The following is a 17,525-nucleotide window of genomic DNA, read 5'->3' as shown; positions in this document are numbered from 1 at the left end:
TATCAGATTCTGTTTGATGGGAGCTATTTTACAACACTGTATAGACTATGGGTTAACTGAGGGACATGTAAATTCTATCCTGTCAGGGAGCAGGTTCAGTTGTCCTCCTGAGCTTCTCCCCAGCTCCCTCTCCCCAACAAACCAGTTTGTCTCCACTTGGGTCCATTTCAACATTTCTTTACTCCATATAAATTTGTGGGTTATTTTACTTTTCCATTGAAACAGGTATAACATTTGCCTTCTTCCCTGATTATGAGTTTTTCTTTAACACATGTATTTTCATAGCTGCATAAGTCATTATATTATCTTTAACACATTACACAGTTTTCTTATTATTGGTAAGATGTTGTTTGATACTCAGATACCAACACAAAAACAATCCAAACAGTGAATTGGACTGGAAAGGTCCACTGCCCATGTAAACTAATAAACAAGCCTTTGGGTTTTGAAAATCAATCCCTTATAAATTTCACTGGTATAAATTAGCACTGCATAAAACTAGGAAACCAGGTTTCAGAACCTTTAGAGCCAATATTCAGACTGCAGATAATGGTGAAGACATGAACTCTAGCAACCACAACCTGTTGCCCACTCATCTTCATTCCCTGTAAACAGTTAAAACAACTGAGGAAAATGGTCAATCCAATAGCACAATTTGTTTCAGATGATTTAAAAAAATAATTTTGGTAGACTCTGCTCCATAGAACGCATCCATGTTCATCTATCCATCCACAGAAGTAGGTTAATTTTTATGTCACTGAAGAAATCAACACAAAAAGTCTTTGTTTAGGTTCATAAATTATCACGATTATAAGGAATTATAGAATAAATAAAGGGATGAAAAAACATGTTGATAACCAAATTAAAGAGGATGTTCCAGATGCGGGTGACCCAAATCAGGAGAATCAGGTGGCTTTTAAGCTTACCAGGTTCTCTTCCGTCTACCTGCTCTCCTTATCCCAAGGACACTAACTTAAAAGAAAGATCGTAATAGATTCAGATTCCTTTTACTATAAGAAGCATACAACCCGCCCTCCTTGTTCAGAACTTTATATATATGTATACACACATACATATATATGTCTTCATAATAGCATATGCAACTGTCATATGGTAGTTATATATGTAATACAGTTAGACACATATAACTGTCTAACATATGTAACTGTCATACATATATAATTTTCCTATACACATAATGAATTAATCAGAAACATTCACTCCAGACAAACTATTTTCCAAGATGGAAATCTCTCTCCTGACTGGTGAGGCCATGGATATATGGTACACAAATATCAACTATATTCAGAGACAACAAATCATTTTTTTTTCAACTCCAGAGAAGACAGAAAGGCATAATTATGATTTAATGCAAAAATAGTTGCAACACACTATCCACAGCCAATCTTTTTTCTTCCTCATCACTGTGACTTAAAAGTTTCATCTAATGCATTAGCTAGACATGGCACAAAATGTTCCATTACAAGGTATTGTGGGGGGCAGGTAGGAGGGACTGGCAAGACTTGTGGAGACAAAATATTCTAATAGAACCTGGGTTTCTTCCTAAAAATATTTAGGAAAACTGAAAATTCCTGAAATTACCTGGAAAGGTAATCACCTCCTGACTCCCTGCAAAAAAATGTTTTTAAGATCTGGCCTACCATAAACATTTTGCATAAAACCTATCTGAATGTCATTAAAATGACTACAAAAACACAACAGAACACTTTACCAAATGCAAGAATAATGTGCATTCTGACACTAGGGGCACTTCCACTTTTATAAGAAAAGAAAAAGTTTCCATTTGTCTGAGCAACTTCTGATGCAACATTAGTAATTACAGTCCTTTCCTCCAGTGTAGGCCTCATAAACAAAAACTGGTTGATGTTTATAAACATTTATCTCAAATCAAGAAAGAAATTAACACAAAATAAAACATTAAAAGGCTTAATCTGGGCAAATTTTCCAGTTTTACAAGCCAGTGACAAAAAGTAAAGCCTTAGAAGGGGCTTAATTATCAACTCCAACAGTTTAGAGAGTAAAACCAAATAAACAAGTGGAATCTTCTATTCAGTGAGTTCTGAAAGTCTTGTCTCCTTTTAACTCCTTTTCCATAAATGCTTTCTGTATATTCTTGCCCATGTAAGCCCTAAGGACAAAAATTACAACCATGTGGATGTTTCTTCTGTTCTCAATTTTGAGACTATGTCCCATAAACTAGCAAAAATTTTAAATTAGCTTCTTTAAAGTTTTCCAGTTAACTCCACTCAGAAGAATGTTAAAGATTTAAAAGAAAAGGGCACTATGAAAAACCCACAGCAATGGTTCATGACAATGATGTTCATATTTCATGCTCAGGGATAAAGTGACTACAAGCTTTCCCCCTAAAATCAAGAATAAGACAAGGATGATTGCTTTCACCACTGTTATTCAACATTGTACTAGAATTTCTAGTGAGAACAATTAGGCAAGAAAAATAAATAAAATTCATCCAAATCAGAAGGAAGAATCTGCACATGACATGATCCTATGTATAGAAAATCCTTAGGAACCCACAAAAATACTACTAGAGCTAATAAATTCAGCAAAGTTGAAGGGTACGAGATCAACACACAAAAACCAACTATGTTTCTACGCACCAGTAATAAACAAACCGAAAGGAAAATTAGTAATTCCATTTACAATAACATCAAAAGAATAAACCTAGGAATAAATTTAACCAAGGAGGTAAAAGACACTTTGAAAACCACAAAACATTAACAAATTAAGGAAAATCTAATATATGGAAGGATATACCAGGTTTAGGGATTAAAAGACAATACTGGCCAGGCACAGTGGCTCACGCCTGTGATCCCAGCACTTTGGGAGGCTGAGGCGGGTGGATCACTTGAGGTCAGGAGTTCAAGACCAGCCTGGGCAACATGGCGAAACCCTGTCTCTACTAAAAATACAAAAACTAGTCAGGTGTGGTGGCACACACCTGTAGTTCCAGCTACTCAGGAGGCTGAGGCAGAAGAATCGCTTGAACCCGGGAGGCGGAGGTTGCAGTGAGCTGAGATCACACCACTGCACTCCAGCCTGGGCAACATTGTGAGACTCTATCTTAGAAAATAAATAAATAGGCCGGGTGCAGTGGCTCATGCCAGTAATCCCAGCACTTTGGGAGGCCAAGGCAGGTGGATCACGAGGTCAGGAGTTCAAGATCAGCATGGCCAAAATGGTGAAACTCCGTCCCTACTAAAAATACAAAAAATTAGCCAGGCGTGGTGGTGGGCGCCTGTAATCCCAGCTACTCGGGAGGCTGAGGCAGAGAATTGCTTGAATCCGGGAGGCAGAGGTTGCAGTGAGCCAAGATCGCACCACTGCACTCCAGCCTGGGCAACAGAGCAAAACTCTGTCTCAAAAAAAAAAAAAAAAGAATGAATAAATAAATAAAATGAAAATAAATAAATAAAAGACAATACTATTAACATGGCAATACTACTCAAAGCAATCTACAGACTCAATTCAATCTCTATCAAAATTCCAATAACTTTTGCAGAAATGGAAAAGCCAATCACCAAATATGAATGGAATTCCAAGTGGTTCCAAGCAGCCAAAACAACACTGAAAAAGAACAAAGTTGGAGGACTCACACTTCCTAATTTCAAAACTTACTAAGAGGCTACAGTAATCAAAACAATGTGGTACTGAAACTGCCTTTGCAAAATTATAACAGTGAGAAAACCCTAACGTAGCTGACTCCATCTTGCTTCTAACCTCATAAGCTGTCTCTGCTCATTCCTGCACATAGGCCAAGCCAACTATGGGAGGAATTTAGTTTGTATTTTAACTTTAAAGCAAATATGATAATAGTCCTTTCCCAAAACTAACCCCCTCCTTGTTTAGAGACCAAAACCATCTTTGTAAAAAATAACAAAAGGACACAAGGTCAGAATTACAGTAGGAGCCTGAATTCTGCTAAGACTTAAGCATAGTTAAATAATAACAAGACACTATTTTCTAACTTGTCTTTTTTGTAATTACTTACTAGACAGGAGTCACTAGCCAGTGGTCATAAGACTTGTAACTTCCCCGATTACCCCAATAGATTACCTCATTATTGTAAAACCCAAGGCTGATTCTTGAGGTATTTTTCAGACCTCGTGTTCTGGTGGACCAACTGATGCCACCTGGGTTACTCATACCATGAAATTGACTCAACTGGCCCTGTAACCCCCACCCGAAACTGACTCGACACACAAGACCATTTTGACACTCGTGTGATTTCATTCCTGACCCAACCAATCAGATGCAGATTCTTGCTGGGCGTGGTGACTCATGCCTGTAATCCCAGCACTTTGGGAGGCTGAGGCGGGTGGATCACTTGAGGCCAGAAGTTTGAGACTAGCTTGGCCAACACAGCGAAACGCCATCTCTACTAAAAAATACAAAAATTAGGGCCAGGTGCAGTGGCTCATGCATGTAATCTCAGCACTTTGGGAGGCCGAAGCAGGTGGATCATGAGGTCAGGAGATCGAGACCATCCTGGCTCTCTACTAAAAATACAAAAAATTAGCTGGGCACAGGTGGCACATGCCTGTAGTCCCAGCCAGGTGTGGTGGTGGGCACCTGTAGTCCCAGCTACTCAGCAGACTGAGGCAGAAGAATCGCTTGAACCCCAGAGGCGGAGGTTGTAGTGAGTCCAGATCACACCACTGCACTCCACCCTGGGTGACAGAGCTAGACTCCGTCTCAAAAAAAAAAAAAAAAAAAAAAGAAGAGACCTGTAGCCCAATTAATTGAGAGTCCAGAATTATGACCATACATCTATGGCCAACTGATTTTCAACGAGGGTGCAAAGACCATTCAATGGAGAGAGAACAATATCTGTAACAAATGATACTACTGGATAGCTACATGCAAAAGAAGGAAGGTGTCCTCAAACTCATTCAAAATCTATCAAAAACCTAAACACAAAAGATAAAACTATAAAATTCTTATACGAAAACAAAGGTAAATCTTCACAACCTTGGATTTGGCAAGGGATTGTTACATGTGACACCAGAAACATGAGCAACAAAAGAAAAAAAAAATCAACTGGACTGCATCCAGATGAAACACTTTTGCACGTGAAAGACCACCATCAAGAAAATGAAAAGACAACCCACAGAATGGAAGAAAAATTCACAAGTCAAGGGTCTAGTATCCAGAATACATAAAGAACTCTTACAACTCAACAACAAAAAGACAAATAACTTTTTTAAATGAGTAAAGGACTTGAATAGATATTTCTCCAAAGAAAACATACAAATGGTTGATAAGCATAAGAAAAGCTACTCAACATCATACATCATTGGGGAAATGCAAATCAAAACCACAATGAGATATCACTATATACCCACTAGCATGGGCACAATTTTAAAAATGGAAAATAACAAGCATTGGTAAGGATGCAGAAAATTTGCAACCCTCATATATTGCTGGTGGGAATGTAAAATAGCAGTTTCTCAAAGAGTTAAATAAACCTTGAAAACATTATACTAAGTGAAGAAGACACAAAAGGTCACGTATTGCATAATTTCATTTATATGAAATATTCAGAATAGGCAAATCCATAGAAATGAAAGCAGACTGGTGGTTGCCAGAGGCTGGGTAGAAGGGAGCAACTGCTTAATGGTACACAGTTTCCTTTGAGGTGATAAAAATGTTTTGAAACTAGACAGCAGTGGTGGTGGCACAACACATGAATGTACTCAATGCCACTGATTTGTCCACTTTAAAATGCTTAATTTCTTGTACAGTAAATTTCACCTCAATTAAAAAAAAAACAGATATATATCAAATGGCTATTTTTTTTCCCAACTATCCACAGTGGAGGTCATTTACAAATGACCACAATGGAAATTTCAATTAATTTTGCAGGGCAATTGCCAAGTCAATCCTAAGCCAAAAGAACAAAGCTGGAGGCATCACACTACCTGACTTCCAACTATACTACAAGGCTACAGTAACCAAAACAGCATGGTACTGGTACCAAAACAGAGAGAGAGACCAATGGAACAGAACAGAGCCCTCAGAAATAATACCACACATCTACAACCATCTGATCTTTGACAAACCTAACAAAAACAAGAAATGGGGAAAGGATTCCCTATTTAATAAATGGTGCTAGTGCTGGCAAAACTGGCTAGCCATATGTAGAAAGCTGAAACTGGATCTCTTCCTTACACCTTATACAAAAATTAATTCAAGACGGATTAAAGACTTAAATGTTAGACCTAAAACCATAAAAACCCTAGAAGAAAACCTAGGCAATACCATTCAGGACATAGGCATGGGCAAGGACTTCATGTCTAAAACACCAAAAGCAATGGCAACAAAAGCCAAAACTGACAAATGGGATCTAATTAAACTAAAGAGCTTCTGCACAGCAAAAGAAAGTACCATCAGAGTGAACAGGCAACTTACAGAATGGGAGACAATTTTTGCCATCTACTCATCTGACAAAGGGCTAATACCCAGAATCTACAAAGAACTCAAACAAATTTACAAGAAAAAAATCAAACAACCCCATCAAAAAGTGGGCGAAGGATATGAACAGACACTTCTCAAAAGAAGACATTTATGCAGCCAACAGACACATGAAAAAATGCTCATCATCACTGGCCATCAGGGAAATGCAAATCAAAACCACAATGAGATACCATCTCACACCTGTTAGAATGGCGATCATTAAAAAGTCAAGAAACAACAGGTGCTGGAGAGGATGTGGAGAAATAGGAACACTTTTACACTGCTGGTGGGACTGTAAACTAGTTCAACCATTGTGGAAGACAGTGTGGCGATTCCTCAAGGATCTACAGCTAGAAATACCATTTGACCCAGCCATCCCATTACTGGGTATATACCCAAAGGATTATAAATCATGCTGCTATAAAGACACATGCACACATGTTTATTGTGGCACTATTCACAATAGCAAAGACTTGGAACCAACCCAAATGTCCATCAATGATAAACTGGATTAAGAAAATGTGGCACATATACACCATGGAATACTATGCAGCCATAAAAAAGGATGAGTTCATGTCCTTTGTAGGGACATGGATGAAGCTGGAAACCATCATTCTCAGCAAACTATTGCAAGGACAAAAAACCAAATACCACGTATTCTCACTCATAGGTGGGAATTGAACAATGAGAACACTTGGACACGGGAAGGGGAACATCACACATCGGGGCCTGTCGTGGGGTCGGGGGAGAGGGGAGGGATAGCATTAGGAGATATACCTAATGTAAATGACGAGTTAACGAGTGCAGCACACCAACATGGCACATGTATACATATGTAACAAACCTGCACGTTGTGCACATGCACCCTAGAACTTAAAGTATAATTTAAAAAAAATAAAAAATAAATTTTGCAGGGCAAGCTTCTGATTATAATACAATAAAACTAAGAGTAATTCAAAACAAACAACCCTAAAGATTTGAAATTCTTAAGCCTTCCTAAATAACTGTTGAATTAATGAAAAAATTAAAAATATATAAGACTTGTAGTTCCCATATGCTGATGTTAATCCAGATTACCAGGGGGTGGGGAGCTTGTTAAAAATGCAGAAGCTCAGGCCCTATACCCAGTGTTAAGTAGAATTGGAATATCTGCATTTTTAATAAGCCTGCCAGCTGAGACTGATATTCACCAAAGTTTAGAACCAGTGCAACAGAATATTTAGAAAAAATATAAAGACATCGCATATCAAAAGTTACAGGATTCATACAAAGCTGTACTGAAATAGTTTCTAAAATAGTATTTAAATAAACAGAACATAAACTAAGCAATGCAAATTTTAAAATCAAGCAGTCAAATTTTTAAAATAAAAGGTGTGATTAAAAAACAAAAATAGAAATATGGATGACAGTAAAAATGATTGATTAGATAACAACACACAGAAAGGGTCAGGCACATTGACTCATGCTTACAATCCCAGCACTTTGGGAAGCCAAGGTGGGAGGATCACTTGAGTCTAGGAGCTCCAGCCCAGCCTAGGTGGCAGTGAGACCCTGTCTCAAAGAAAAAAAAAAGAAAGCAGGAAAGAAAGAAAAGAAAAGAAAAGAAAAAAAGAAAACACAGAAAAAACAGCGGAACTTTAAAATGAGCTTGGTTCTTTATGAAAAAATTTACAAAGTCCTAACAATTCTAATAAAATAAAGAATTATCAAATAGGTAAAAGCAGAATTAGGAAATTTAATCATTTTTAATAAAGCAAGAAAAATAGTTTGTCAGCAAACTGAAAAAATACAACTCATCTAGACAACTCTAAGGAGTTACTTTATCAAAAATATAAGAAATTATATGTCAGTAAAAAAAATCAGAAAAAAATTAATTGTAACATTAGTTATATAATCTACCACTTGGTTGAAAAAAATAAAATTTGGGGAAAGTTTTAACAAAATGCAATGGACTTGAAATTCTTTCTGTTAAAGAAGACTTTTGTTCTTTCATGCCACTTCACTAATAAGAGAAATAAATACACTTTATTGTCCTCAATTCAAAAGCAAATCTCAAAATAATATAAATGATTCTAAATTACTCACTTTCCAGGCTTAAAAAAAGTCAAAATATTTCCTTATTAACTTTACTATTGAGGTTAACTTTTCATTTTAATGTCATTTTGGTAGAGTGTTTAGCCTGTTATTCAACACTGAGAACCAATAAATAACGGTGATTAGCAAAGAGTAGATAAGAATTAAGTGCTATTCACAATAATTAACATAGTAAATATAATGAATGAATCTTTCTTGTTTTAATAAAAGGGGCACAGCCCTTTTGTCTTTAGGGTGTACAGTAGTTTCCTATCGCTGCTGTAACAAGTTACTTGGTGGCTTAAAACAGAAAGTTATTCTCTTCCACTCCTAGAGGCCAAAAAAAGTCTGAAAGCAGTATCATTAGAACAAAAGCAAGGTCACACTCCCTCCAAAGGCTCCAGGTGAGAATCTGTTCCTTGCTTATTCCAGCTGTTGATGGCTGTGGGAATGCCTTGACTTGTGGCCGTTAACACTCAAATCTCTACCTCCTGGTCCAACTGCCTCCTCCTCCTCTGTGTACGTATAATCTCCCTCTGCCTCACTTTGATAAACATACACAGGATTGCTTTTAGGGACCACTCACATAATCCAGGATAAGTGCCCTAGACATCAAGATCCTCAATTTAATTACAAAAACCATTTTTTTTAACATACAAGGTAACATTTCACAGGTTCCAGGATTAGGACTTGAATATTTTAGAGAACCATTTTCAGCCTACCACAGAGGATCTCTTTAAAAACCTAACAGGCCTGGCCAGGCATGGTGGCTCATGCCTGTAATCCCAGCTCTTTGTGGGCAGACTGCTTGAGCTCAGGAGTTTGAAACCAGCCTGGGAAACATGGCAAAATTCCATCTCTATGTAAAAAATAAAACAAAAAGTAAATAAAAATTTAAAAAGAACAAAAACAAAAAAACCCTAATAGGCCAAGCCTTTTCGTCAGGAATTAGATACTATCCTAGTCTCCAGATTTACAATGACAAGGTCATAGGCCTTCTGACCCTAGACACTGCAAACAAACACCACTGAAATTAACTCGGGAATTTCATCAGGTGCACAGGAAACTATCACAGGGTATATCCATTTGCCCCAAGAATACAAGAGAAGTTTTGTCTGTTTCACTGTATGAGTTAAATTCTGCTCAAATTTTGTAGTCTCAAACTACCTATCTGCACGTATCTGACATGCAAATAAAAACAGAGCGTTCTTTCTCTTCTACATTGGTAAGAAGGGGTCTTTTTGTTGGCAAGATTTTCTTATTGCCCCAACATACTTTATAGAGTTGGGTAATAATAAACTAAGTTTTTAAATAAATTTGAGACAAACTACTTTCCAAAGGCAGCAAAATTTATTTTTATCCTCTAAATTTTTCCAGACACACAATTTCAAGACCCACTAGCCCTTGAATCTCCTCCAGAATCAAGCAGTTTCATTCCATAAAATCAAAATAAATTCCAGATGAATTAAAGAGTTACATGTAAAATATGAAAACATTATAGAATTACAATAGGAAAATGGGCCAAGAATCAAGAGTCACATACAAAAATGAACACTAAAAAAAAAGGGAAAGAAATCAGACTAATATGTAGCATGACACCATGTTTCCAATTACTTTTTCATATTTGACAATGATAGTATCCAGCAAAGTGAGGGCATAGGAAAATAAGGCCTCAAACATACAATTGCTAAGAGAATCAACTGATAGAGCCCTTTTAAAAGGCAAATTCAGCATGGCTGGCAAATTATAAAACACATATACATTTTTACACAATAATTTCATTCTAATCTATCCTACAAAAGTACTCATAAAAGTAAGAAAAGATAAAAATGCTCACGGAGGCACTATTTGTATGTGAAAATTAGAAATAGTATAAACGTCCATCAACAGAGAAATGGTTAAATTATGGCATAGCCATATAACTGGAATATTATGCAACCAGTTTTTAAAAAGTGAAGCACAGTCATCTAATATCCATGGGGGATCTGTTCCAGGGCCTCTTGAGGACATCAAAATCAACATATGCACAAGTTCCTTATATAAAATGACATCATATTTGCATATAGCCTGCTCACATCCTCCAAAATACTTTATCTCTAAATTACTCATAGTATCTAATACAATGTAAATGCTATATAAATAGTTATATTGTTTAGGGAACAATGACAAGAAAAAAGTCTGTACATGTTCAGTGCAGAGGCAATTCTTTTTCAAATATTTTTGATCCATGGTTGGTTGAATCTATGAATGCAAAACCTGTGGATACAGAGGGGCTGACTATACATTAACATAAGCAGTCATTCAGAAAGGTAGACATGACCCGTGAAGTGAAGAAAGCAACTTACAAAATAATGAATGACTCTGTTTTTAATTAAAGGAGAAAACAAAAAAAGAAATCTCTATGTATGATAACGTTTATATATTAATAGAAACCATGTTTTCAAAAAATCTTATGACATGGGAAAATCCTAATAATATAAAGTGAAAAAAGTAGGTTACAAAATTGTATAGGTAATGACATAAATAAAAGTAGCATAATAAAAATAAACATGGTTATCAACTATCTCTGAGTAATGTAATTCTGATCTGTTCTTCATATATTTTTTATAAATATATAAATGTATAAATATTACTTATATAGCATTCAAGTTGACTTTTTTTATTAAGAGAGAGGATCTTGCTATGTTGCCCAAACTGGTGTTGAACTCCTGAGCAACTAAAGCAATCCTCCTGCCTCAGCCTCCCAAGTAGCTGGCACTCCCAAGTAGCTGGTCAGGAGAGATTCTAACCCTAAAAAATACCAAGAGATTGGGTATAATGATGTGAGTTCATGTACAAAGAAGACTTTTTAAAACTATCTATTTACCAAAACTTATCTATGCTAAAGAATGCTCCCTATTCAGACTGGTTACTTTGAATATGTTTATTCTCATGTTCTACTACCAAAAAATTTTTGAACTTTTATAGTTTAAAATTTCCTTTGATCAGCTCACGTAACACAAAAAAAGGTAATTCTTATAACATAATCACCCAACCTTATCACGCAGGCTAGCCCCGAAATAGATTTTGGTTCATTCTAAACAACTCTAGCTTCAAAGGACAAAGCTTTAGCACAAGCTCTGTCAGTTAAAAGACTATGCTGCAACTTTCAACTTGTCTGGGGACAAGGAATAGACCCTGGTTTCAGAAGTTTCCCCCAGATAAACTTAAGTATTCATTGTCATCAGCACTGCCTTTCCAGTTCACTCATGGTCTTCCTGAGCAGAAGGGTCCTCCCCTCAGTCACAATTCTCAAAATCCTACCATCTCTTCAATGCTAAGCTCAAGATACACCTGCTTAGTGAAGCTGTGCCCCTTTTGAACTCTAGAAGCATCTTATCACCTGTACTACTGACTTGGTCAGCATGTGTTATTTTTATACGGACATTCTTTTCATATACTCTAACTTTCCAATTATACACTTTCATCTCCAGTGCAACTTACTGGAGATACAAACTGAGTGCCCCATCCAAGAAACACAATAGGTGCTTGTTTTCTTTTGTTGTATATAAAGACTGGGACAGCATTAATTTGAGCCTATTGGACTCCAGTGGGCCTTGAATGGCTGCCTGCAAATAATGGGTTTTATCCTACAGTAATGGAGAGTAACTGAAAGTTCTGAGTTCAAAAATGATGTGATAAAAGTTTAATTTAGGCCGGGCGCGGTGGCTCACGCCTGTAATCCCAGCACTTTGGGAGGCCGAGGCGGGCGGATCACGAGGTCAGGAGATCGAGACCATCCTGGCTAACACAGTGAAACCCCGTCTCTACTAAAAAACACAAAAAAATTAGCCGGGCGTGGTGGCGGGCGCCTGTAGTCCCAGCTACGCGGGAGGCTGAGGCAGGAGAATGGCGTGAACCCGGGAGGCGGAGCTTGCAGTGAGCCGAGATCGCGCCACTGCACTCCAGCCTGGGCGACAGAGCGAGACTCCGTCTCAAAAAAAAAAAAAAAAAAGTTTAATTTAGAAAAAGTGGTCCACAGCAGCCAGATTAGAGGAGGGTAATAATGTCTACAGCAAGGAAGATAGTTGGCCCAACCCAAAGGGTTAAGTAAAGGGCTTTAAAGTCAGAAAGCACTGACTTCTCCAACACTTCCTTGCTCTGTGACAATGGGCAAGTTATGGCTTTCCTTACCAGTAAAACAAAGATGATAAAATCAGACCTGGGCCAGGCCTGGTGGCACACACCTGTAGTCTCAGCCACTCAGGAGGCTGAGGCAGGAGGACCGCTTCAGCCTAGGAGTTCAAGACAAGTGGAGGCAACATAGTGAGACCCCGTTTCAAAAAACAAACAAACAAAACACCAACAACAACAAAAACACCAAAAACTAACTAGAAACAAATAAAAAAAAATCTAGGTCTTACCATGGTGGGCATTACATGAAATAATGCATGCAGCGCACATACCACAATGCCTGTCAAAGGGTAAGCACACTGCACTCTGAGACCAATTCTCTGACACCAACTAGGTGTCCTACAATTCAACTCAATTCTGACACTACCTGGAGTTCGTATCAGATCCCACAAGTTAAAGAGCAAGGTTTCCAACAAGACTGCCCTCACTTCAGTTATCCCCATGCTATCCACACTAATGTCCAACTTGGCTACAAATTCAGAGATTCCCAAAACCTCCCTTCAGTTTCAACGATTCTCACAGAAATCAGTGAAAGCACTATACAATCACAGTTTCATTATAAAGGCTACAACTCAGGAACAGCCCAATGGAAGAGGTGCACAGAGCAAGGGCAAGGTCTAGGAAAGAGGGCAGAGGGATGCAAAGCTTCCCTGCTCTCCCCTGAAGAAATCCAGGTGTCATCTTCCTAGCAAACCAGTATGTTCACTGCTATTCCAGGGTTTTTATATGGGGCTTCATGACCTAGGCATCAGTGATTAAATCACTAGCCAGATGACTGGGCTCTGCTATCTAGTCACTGCCCCCTCCCCAGAGACCAGGGGATGGGGCTAAAAGTTCCAAGGTCTCTCTGATGTGGACAGCTCCTTTCCTGAACTATCTAAGGGCCCACCCAGAGTCACCTTATTAGGATAAACTCAGGTGTGGTCAAAAGAGACTCTTGTTATGAATAACAAAAGATACATCTATAAGGAAATCCCAAGATTTTTTGAAGCTCATTGTCAGGAACCGAAGACAAAAGCCAGATATAATAGATTCTTCATCATATCACATACACAAGAAATGGAGACTATTATTTCAGAAACCGACTAGTAGACTACTGAAGTAACGCAAGCATAAAGATCAGGAGAAAAAACATCAAAAGCATTACAAAAGCAGCAGCAATAGAAAAAGGCTGAGGGGGAGGGTGTCGAAATTATCTAAGAAGGTTCAAGCCTGGACAATTAAATAAACAGAGACAGACATAACCTGGCAGGTAACTGAATATGGGATTGAGAATGAATTTAGTTTTAATCAAATTGAGACTGAGGTGGCAGCCAGAGATTGCAGATGAACACTGGGCAGATGGAGATCATGAGCCTAGAGATGAGAGAGGACATGGCCAGAATCAGTTGTCAGTTATTCACACAGATGAACCCCCGCTGGACTCCCCAAACCCTCACTGTTTCAAAAGGAGGATACTAGCTAATGGTATCACATAAGCTCCTATGTCAAACAAAAGCAAGTTACTGCATGCAGCAGAAAGTGTAAGGGATAACCTCCAAAAAATTTAATATTTTCGACTCTAAACAAAATGGTACCTAATCTTTAAAATAAAGATCCAAAAAGAATCACACAACCAAATGCCAAACAGAAATGCTGGGTTTGTTCTTTCACAGAAATGTGTTATTTTATTTTCTAAAAAAGGACATTTATCTCCCTCCAATAGAAATGAATGCTTATTTTTCAATGAAAAGGTTATAGAACAAGCATAGAACATGTCAACAATACAACATAAACAGGAACAAACTATGATCAATTCAAAAAGCTTTGTGTTCAGATATATGAAGCAAGACAAAAACCTCAAGCATCTAAATCATTACAAAGACTTACCCAAAGCTTTTAGAGTCCTGCTTTATGAAGTACGTGCAGTAGCTAGAAACTGCCTCGTTAATTGACCATGGGTTCAGAAGCACCACAATTTCCCTTCCCCTGGAATGCATATATCACATCATCCATTTGTTGCCAGCTTCCCAGAAGAGAGTACCCACTCTGTTTTTCAGCCTGTGAACAGGACAAATGGGAGAAAAAAAGAGAAAGCAGAGTTTGGGAACAGTGCACCGGGCTCATCAGATGGTTCATGGAGTAAACAGATTACGGGCCCAGGGACCTGAAACATCTGAGTACTGAATGGATTAATGCACAGGGCAACTCAGGAAGCTGGGTCATAGTGCTTAGGAAGGGAATGCCAAAAGACTGAGGTGAGAGCCCAATATGCATGCCACCTCTACAAAGTTCCAGAGAGAGAGGGCAGCTGAAATGTTAACACTGGCCAGGTCCTTGGAGCTTCTGCTTCTCCCTGAGCCAGAATGTGAACAGCAAGGGCAAAATCACAGCCTAGATCCCAACCCAAGAAAAAACAGGTAAGGGGCAGCTCCTTTCCCCCACACTTTGTAACACATAGGGTATTCAAGTTTCAAAGATGGCTAGAGGAACCCAAAGACCTTCCTAAAGAAGGAAAGCAAGCATGACCACATGCTGCTCATTTCCTGGATCCTGATTCTACTGCCAAATTACAAAAACCATTTTATTTTGCATAAAACTTTAAAATACGTTTGCAGTAGAGAAACTCTTGCTTTTGTTTATAGTAATTTCCTTATATCAGAATGAATGTTACTCAGTTATAAATATAAGTATATACATACCTACATTTATAGGTATATAGGTAAGCTTCTTACATTCACACAGTAGACTTTGCACTGAGGCTTACTTTCATTATCCTAATGGCATAGTAGCTGGGAATGCCCCTGTCTTGAAGGACCCACCAACCCAATCCAACTACACTATTCACAGTAGACCAAGGTTTTCCCTTGGACCAGTACTGATTTTGGGAGATTTAAATTCTCAGTTTCTGAGTATCCTTTCTTCAGACTCAACCAGTTCACCAGGTATATTCCACTTCCACCCACCATCACTCTCCACTCCCAATAAAACACTTAAGTAAAACAATAAATACTGAGGGTCAGAAGGAAAAGTCAATTTAAATAACATCCTTGAGACATCATTCCAGTTCCTCCCTCTTCCTCAATCACCCTACCTCCCTACTCATCCAAAAATTGCTCTTGAAACTCCCAACAGCTATTCCTAGATTAGGCAAAATCCAACCCTTCCCAGTTCCTACTCCCTGAGGAGCATGCCCAAATCTACCAAGGTCCTTGGCAGCACTAAAGCCTTCTGTCTATCAAGATCCACCCTCCAAATTGTTTTAAAGCAAAAAGATCATAGCACACTTCCAGCCCTAATGCTTCTTCCTAGTACAAAGCCAGACAGAGCAGGGTCTTCTCAACCACTGTTTACTGAATTGAATTACCAGGATGCTATTCTAACTAACTGCTCACCATATCAAACTTCTACATTTCCCTTTCTCAGAGCAGCAAGGTCACTGCATATTAGAAATGTCTACCTCTCCAAAAGCAACTATTGTCAGCTACTACACTCTATTCTTTCCAATTATTGCCAGTGAAACTTACAACCTAACAACCAAGTGAAAAGTTGCCTCTTTTTTTTTTTTTAACAATATGAAATGAAGTCTCAGGAAGGCAAAATTAGTTGCCCACAGTCTTCTAATAAAGAGTTTTTTAAAAAGAATTCTTATGTTATACGAGGTACTATGAGAAGTGTGTAACTTACAACATCTCTTTTAATCCTCACACTAACCATGCAAAGAAAATAATACTATAAATTCCTTTTTATAGGAAGTAACACACGCTTAGGTTAAAAAATAAAATTCCGTGACCCAAATCGCAACAGTAAATGGGATTCAAACTCAGGCTAAATTTGGAGTTCAATCTGTTAAAGGATAACTGAAAGAAACAAACAAAAAGGTGGCACTGTGTCTCTCATGCAAATATAAAATCAACACCTCTATCTATAACTCTAATTAGGGAACAAATAAGATGTTCCAATTGGTTCAAATGAGAATCCAAAGAGCAGACACATACTTAGGCAATGGGAAATACTGAAATGAATTTGCTTAACAGATAAAAAACTGGCTTCTTCCACAAAAGAGAAAAAGAAAACCATTGTACTTCCAACAAACATCCTTTGCATGTAAAAGGGCAAGAATAATTTGTATTATTGTTATTCACAACTTACAAGGTTGTAAAATACATCAAAAACAATGAAAGCTACAGACTACAGAGTAGTAACCAAGAAAATTGCTCTAGCCAGCACCTGGGTTCCACTGAAGCTATTCAGTAATCCTTTTGTTAGGTTTCAGACTTTCACAAATTTTCCTTACACAGATCTGAACTGCTACACTTTTTTTTCTTTTAGATAAGGATCCACAGCTCCAAGATCTCTGACAACCACTAAAGAAAACTGGAGTTAATCCCCTCCATAAAACTAATCTTTCACAAAGATAAATTTTTCTCTACCAGGTACTAAGCCAGAAATTATATTATTAATTTATATCTCAATGCAGAAATAAAGTAATTCACTATACTGTCAAACCTCTTAAGAAATCTAAAACTAAAGAGAGTTTGGTTTTACTGAGCAATGACCCACAGAATTCTCTCTGGAGAAATAAAGACATAGTTAAGCTGTCACTTCCAAGTAACTAACCCAAAACTAGCTTCCTTCAGTGTCTTACTGGCTAATTCATGCATCTCAATTTCCACCCTGTATTTTCTTCCATAAAGAAGTAATCCCTGTCCAACTTTCGCTTCCAGCAAGATCAAGTAAATGTAGTTTTTCCTACTGCTCTAGCTAAGTACAACCAAAAATCCTGGCCATTATAGGTAAACAAA

At 37.8% G+C, this 17,525-nt stretch overlaps 1 protein-coding gene across 11 annotated transcripts in view; it reads right to left on the bottom strand.

Moving 5' to 3' along the window:
• LCLAT1 (lysocardiolipin acyltransferase 1) overlaps positions 1-17,525 on the bottom strand; it is a 196,980-nt gene that overhangs the window by 169,893 nt on the left and 9,562 nt on the right. For 6 of the 11 annotated variants that reach the window (NM_182551.5, NM_001304445.2, XM_005264244.2 and 3 more), the window contains exon 2: positions 14,611-14,781. The exons of the other annotated variants lie outside the window; for them this stretch is intronic. In NM_182551.5, coding sequence (NP_872357.2) covers positions 14,611-14,720 — 110 coding nt within the window. In that variant the 5' untranslated portion in view covers positions 14,721-14,781. The remainder of the gene's footprint in view (positions 1-14,610; positions 14,782-17,525) is intronic. 11 annotated transcript variants of the gene reach the window in all.

This window comes from Homo sapiens, chromosome 2 (assembly GCF_000001405.40).
Source record: "Homo sapiens chromosome 2, GRCh38.p14 Primary Assembly".
NCBI lineage: Eukaryota > Metazoa > Chordata > Mammalia > Primates > Hominidae > Homo > Homo sapiens.
Note: the sequence above shows the minus strand (reverse complement) of the source record. Positions and strands in the feature narration are given on the sequence as shown.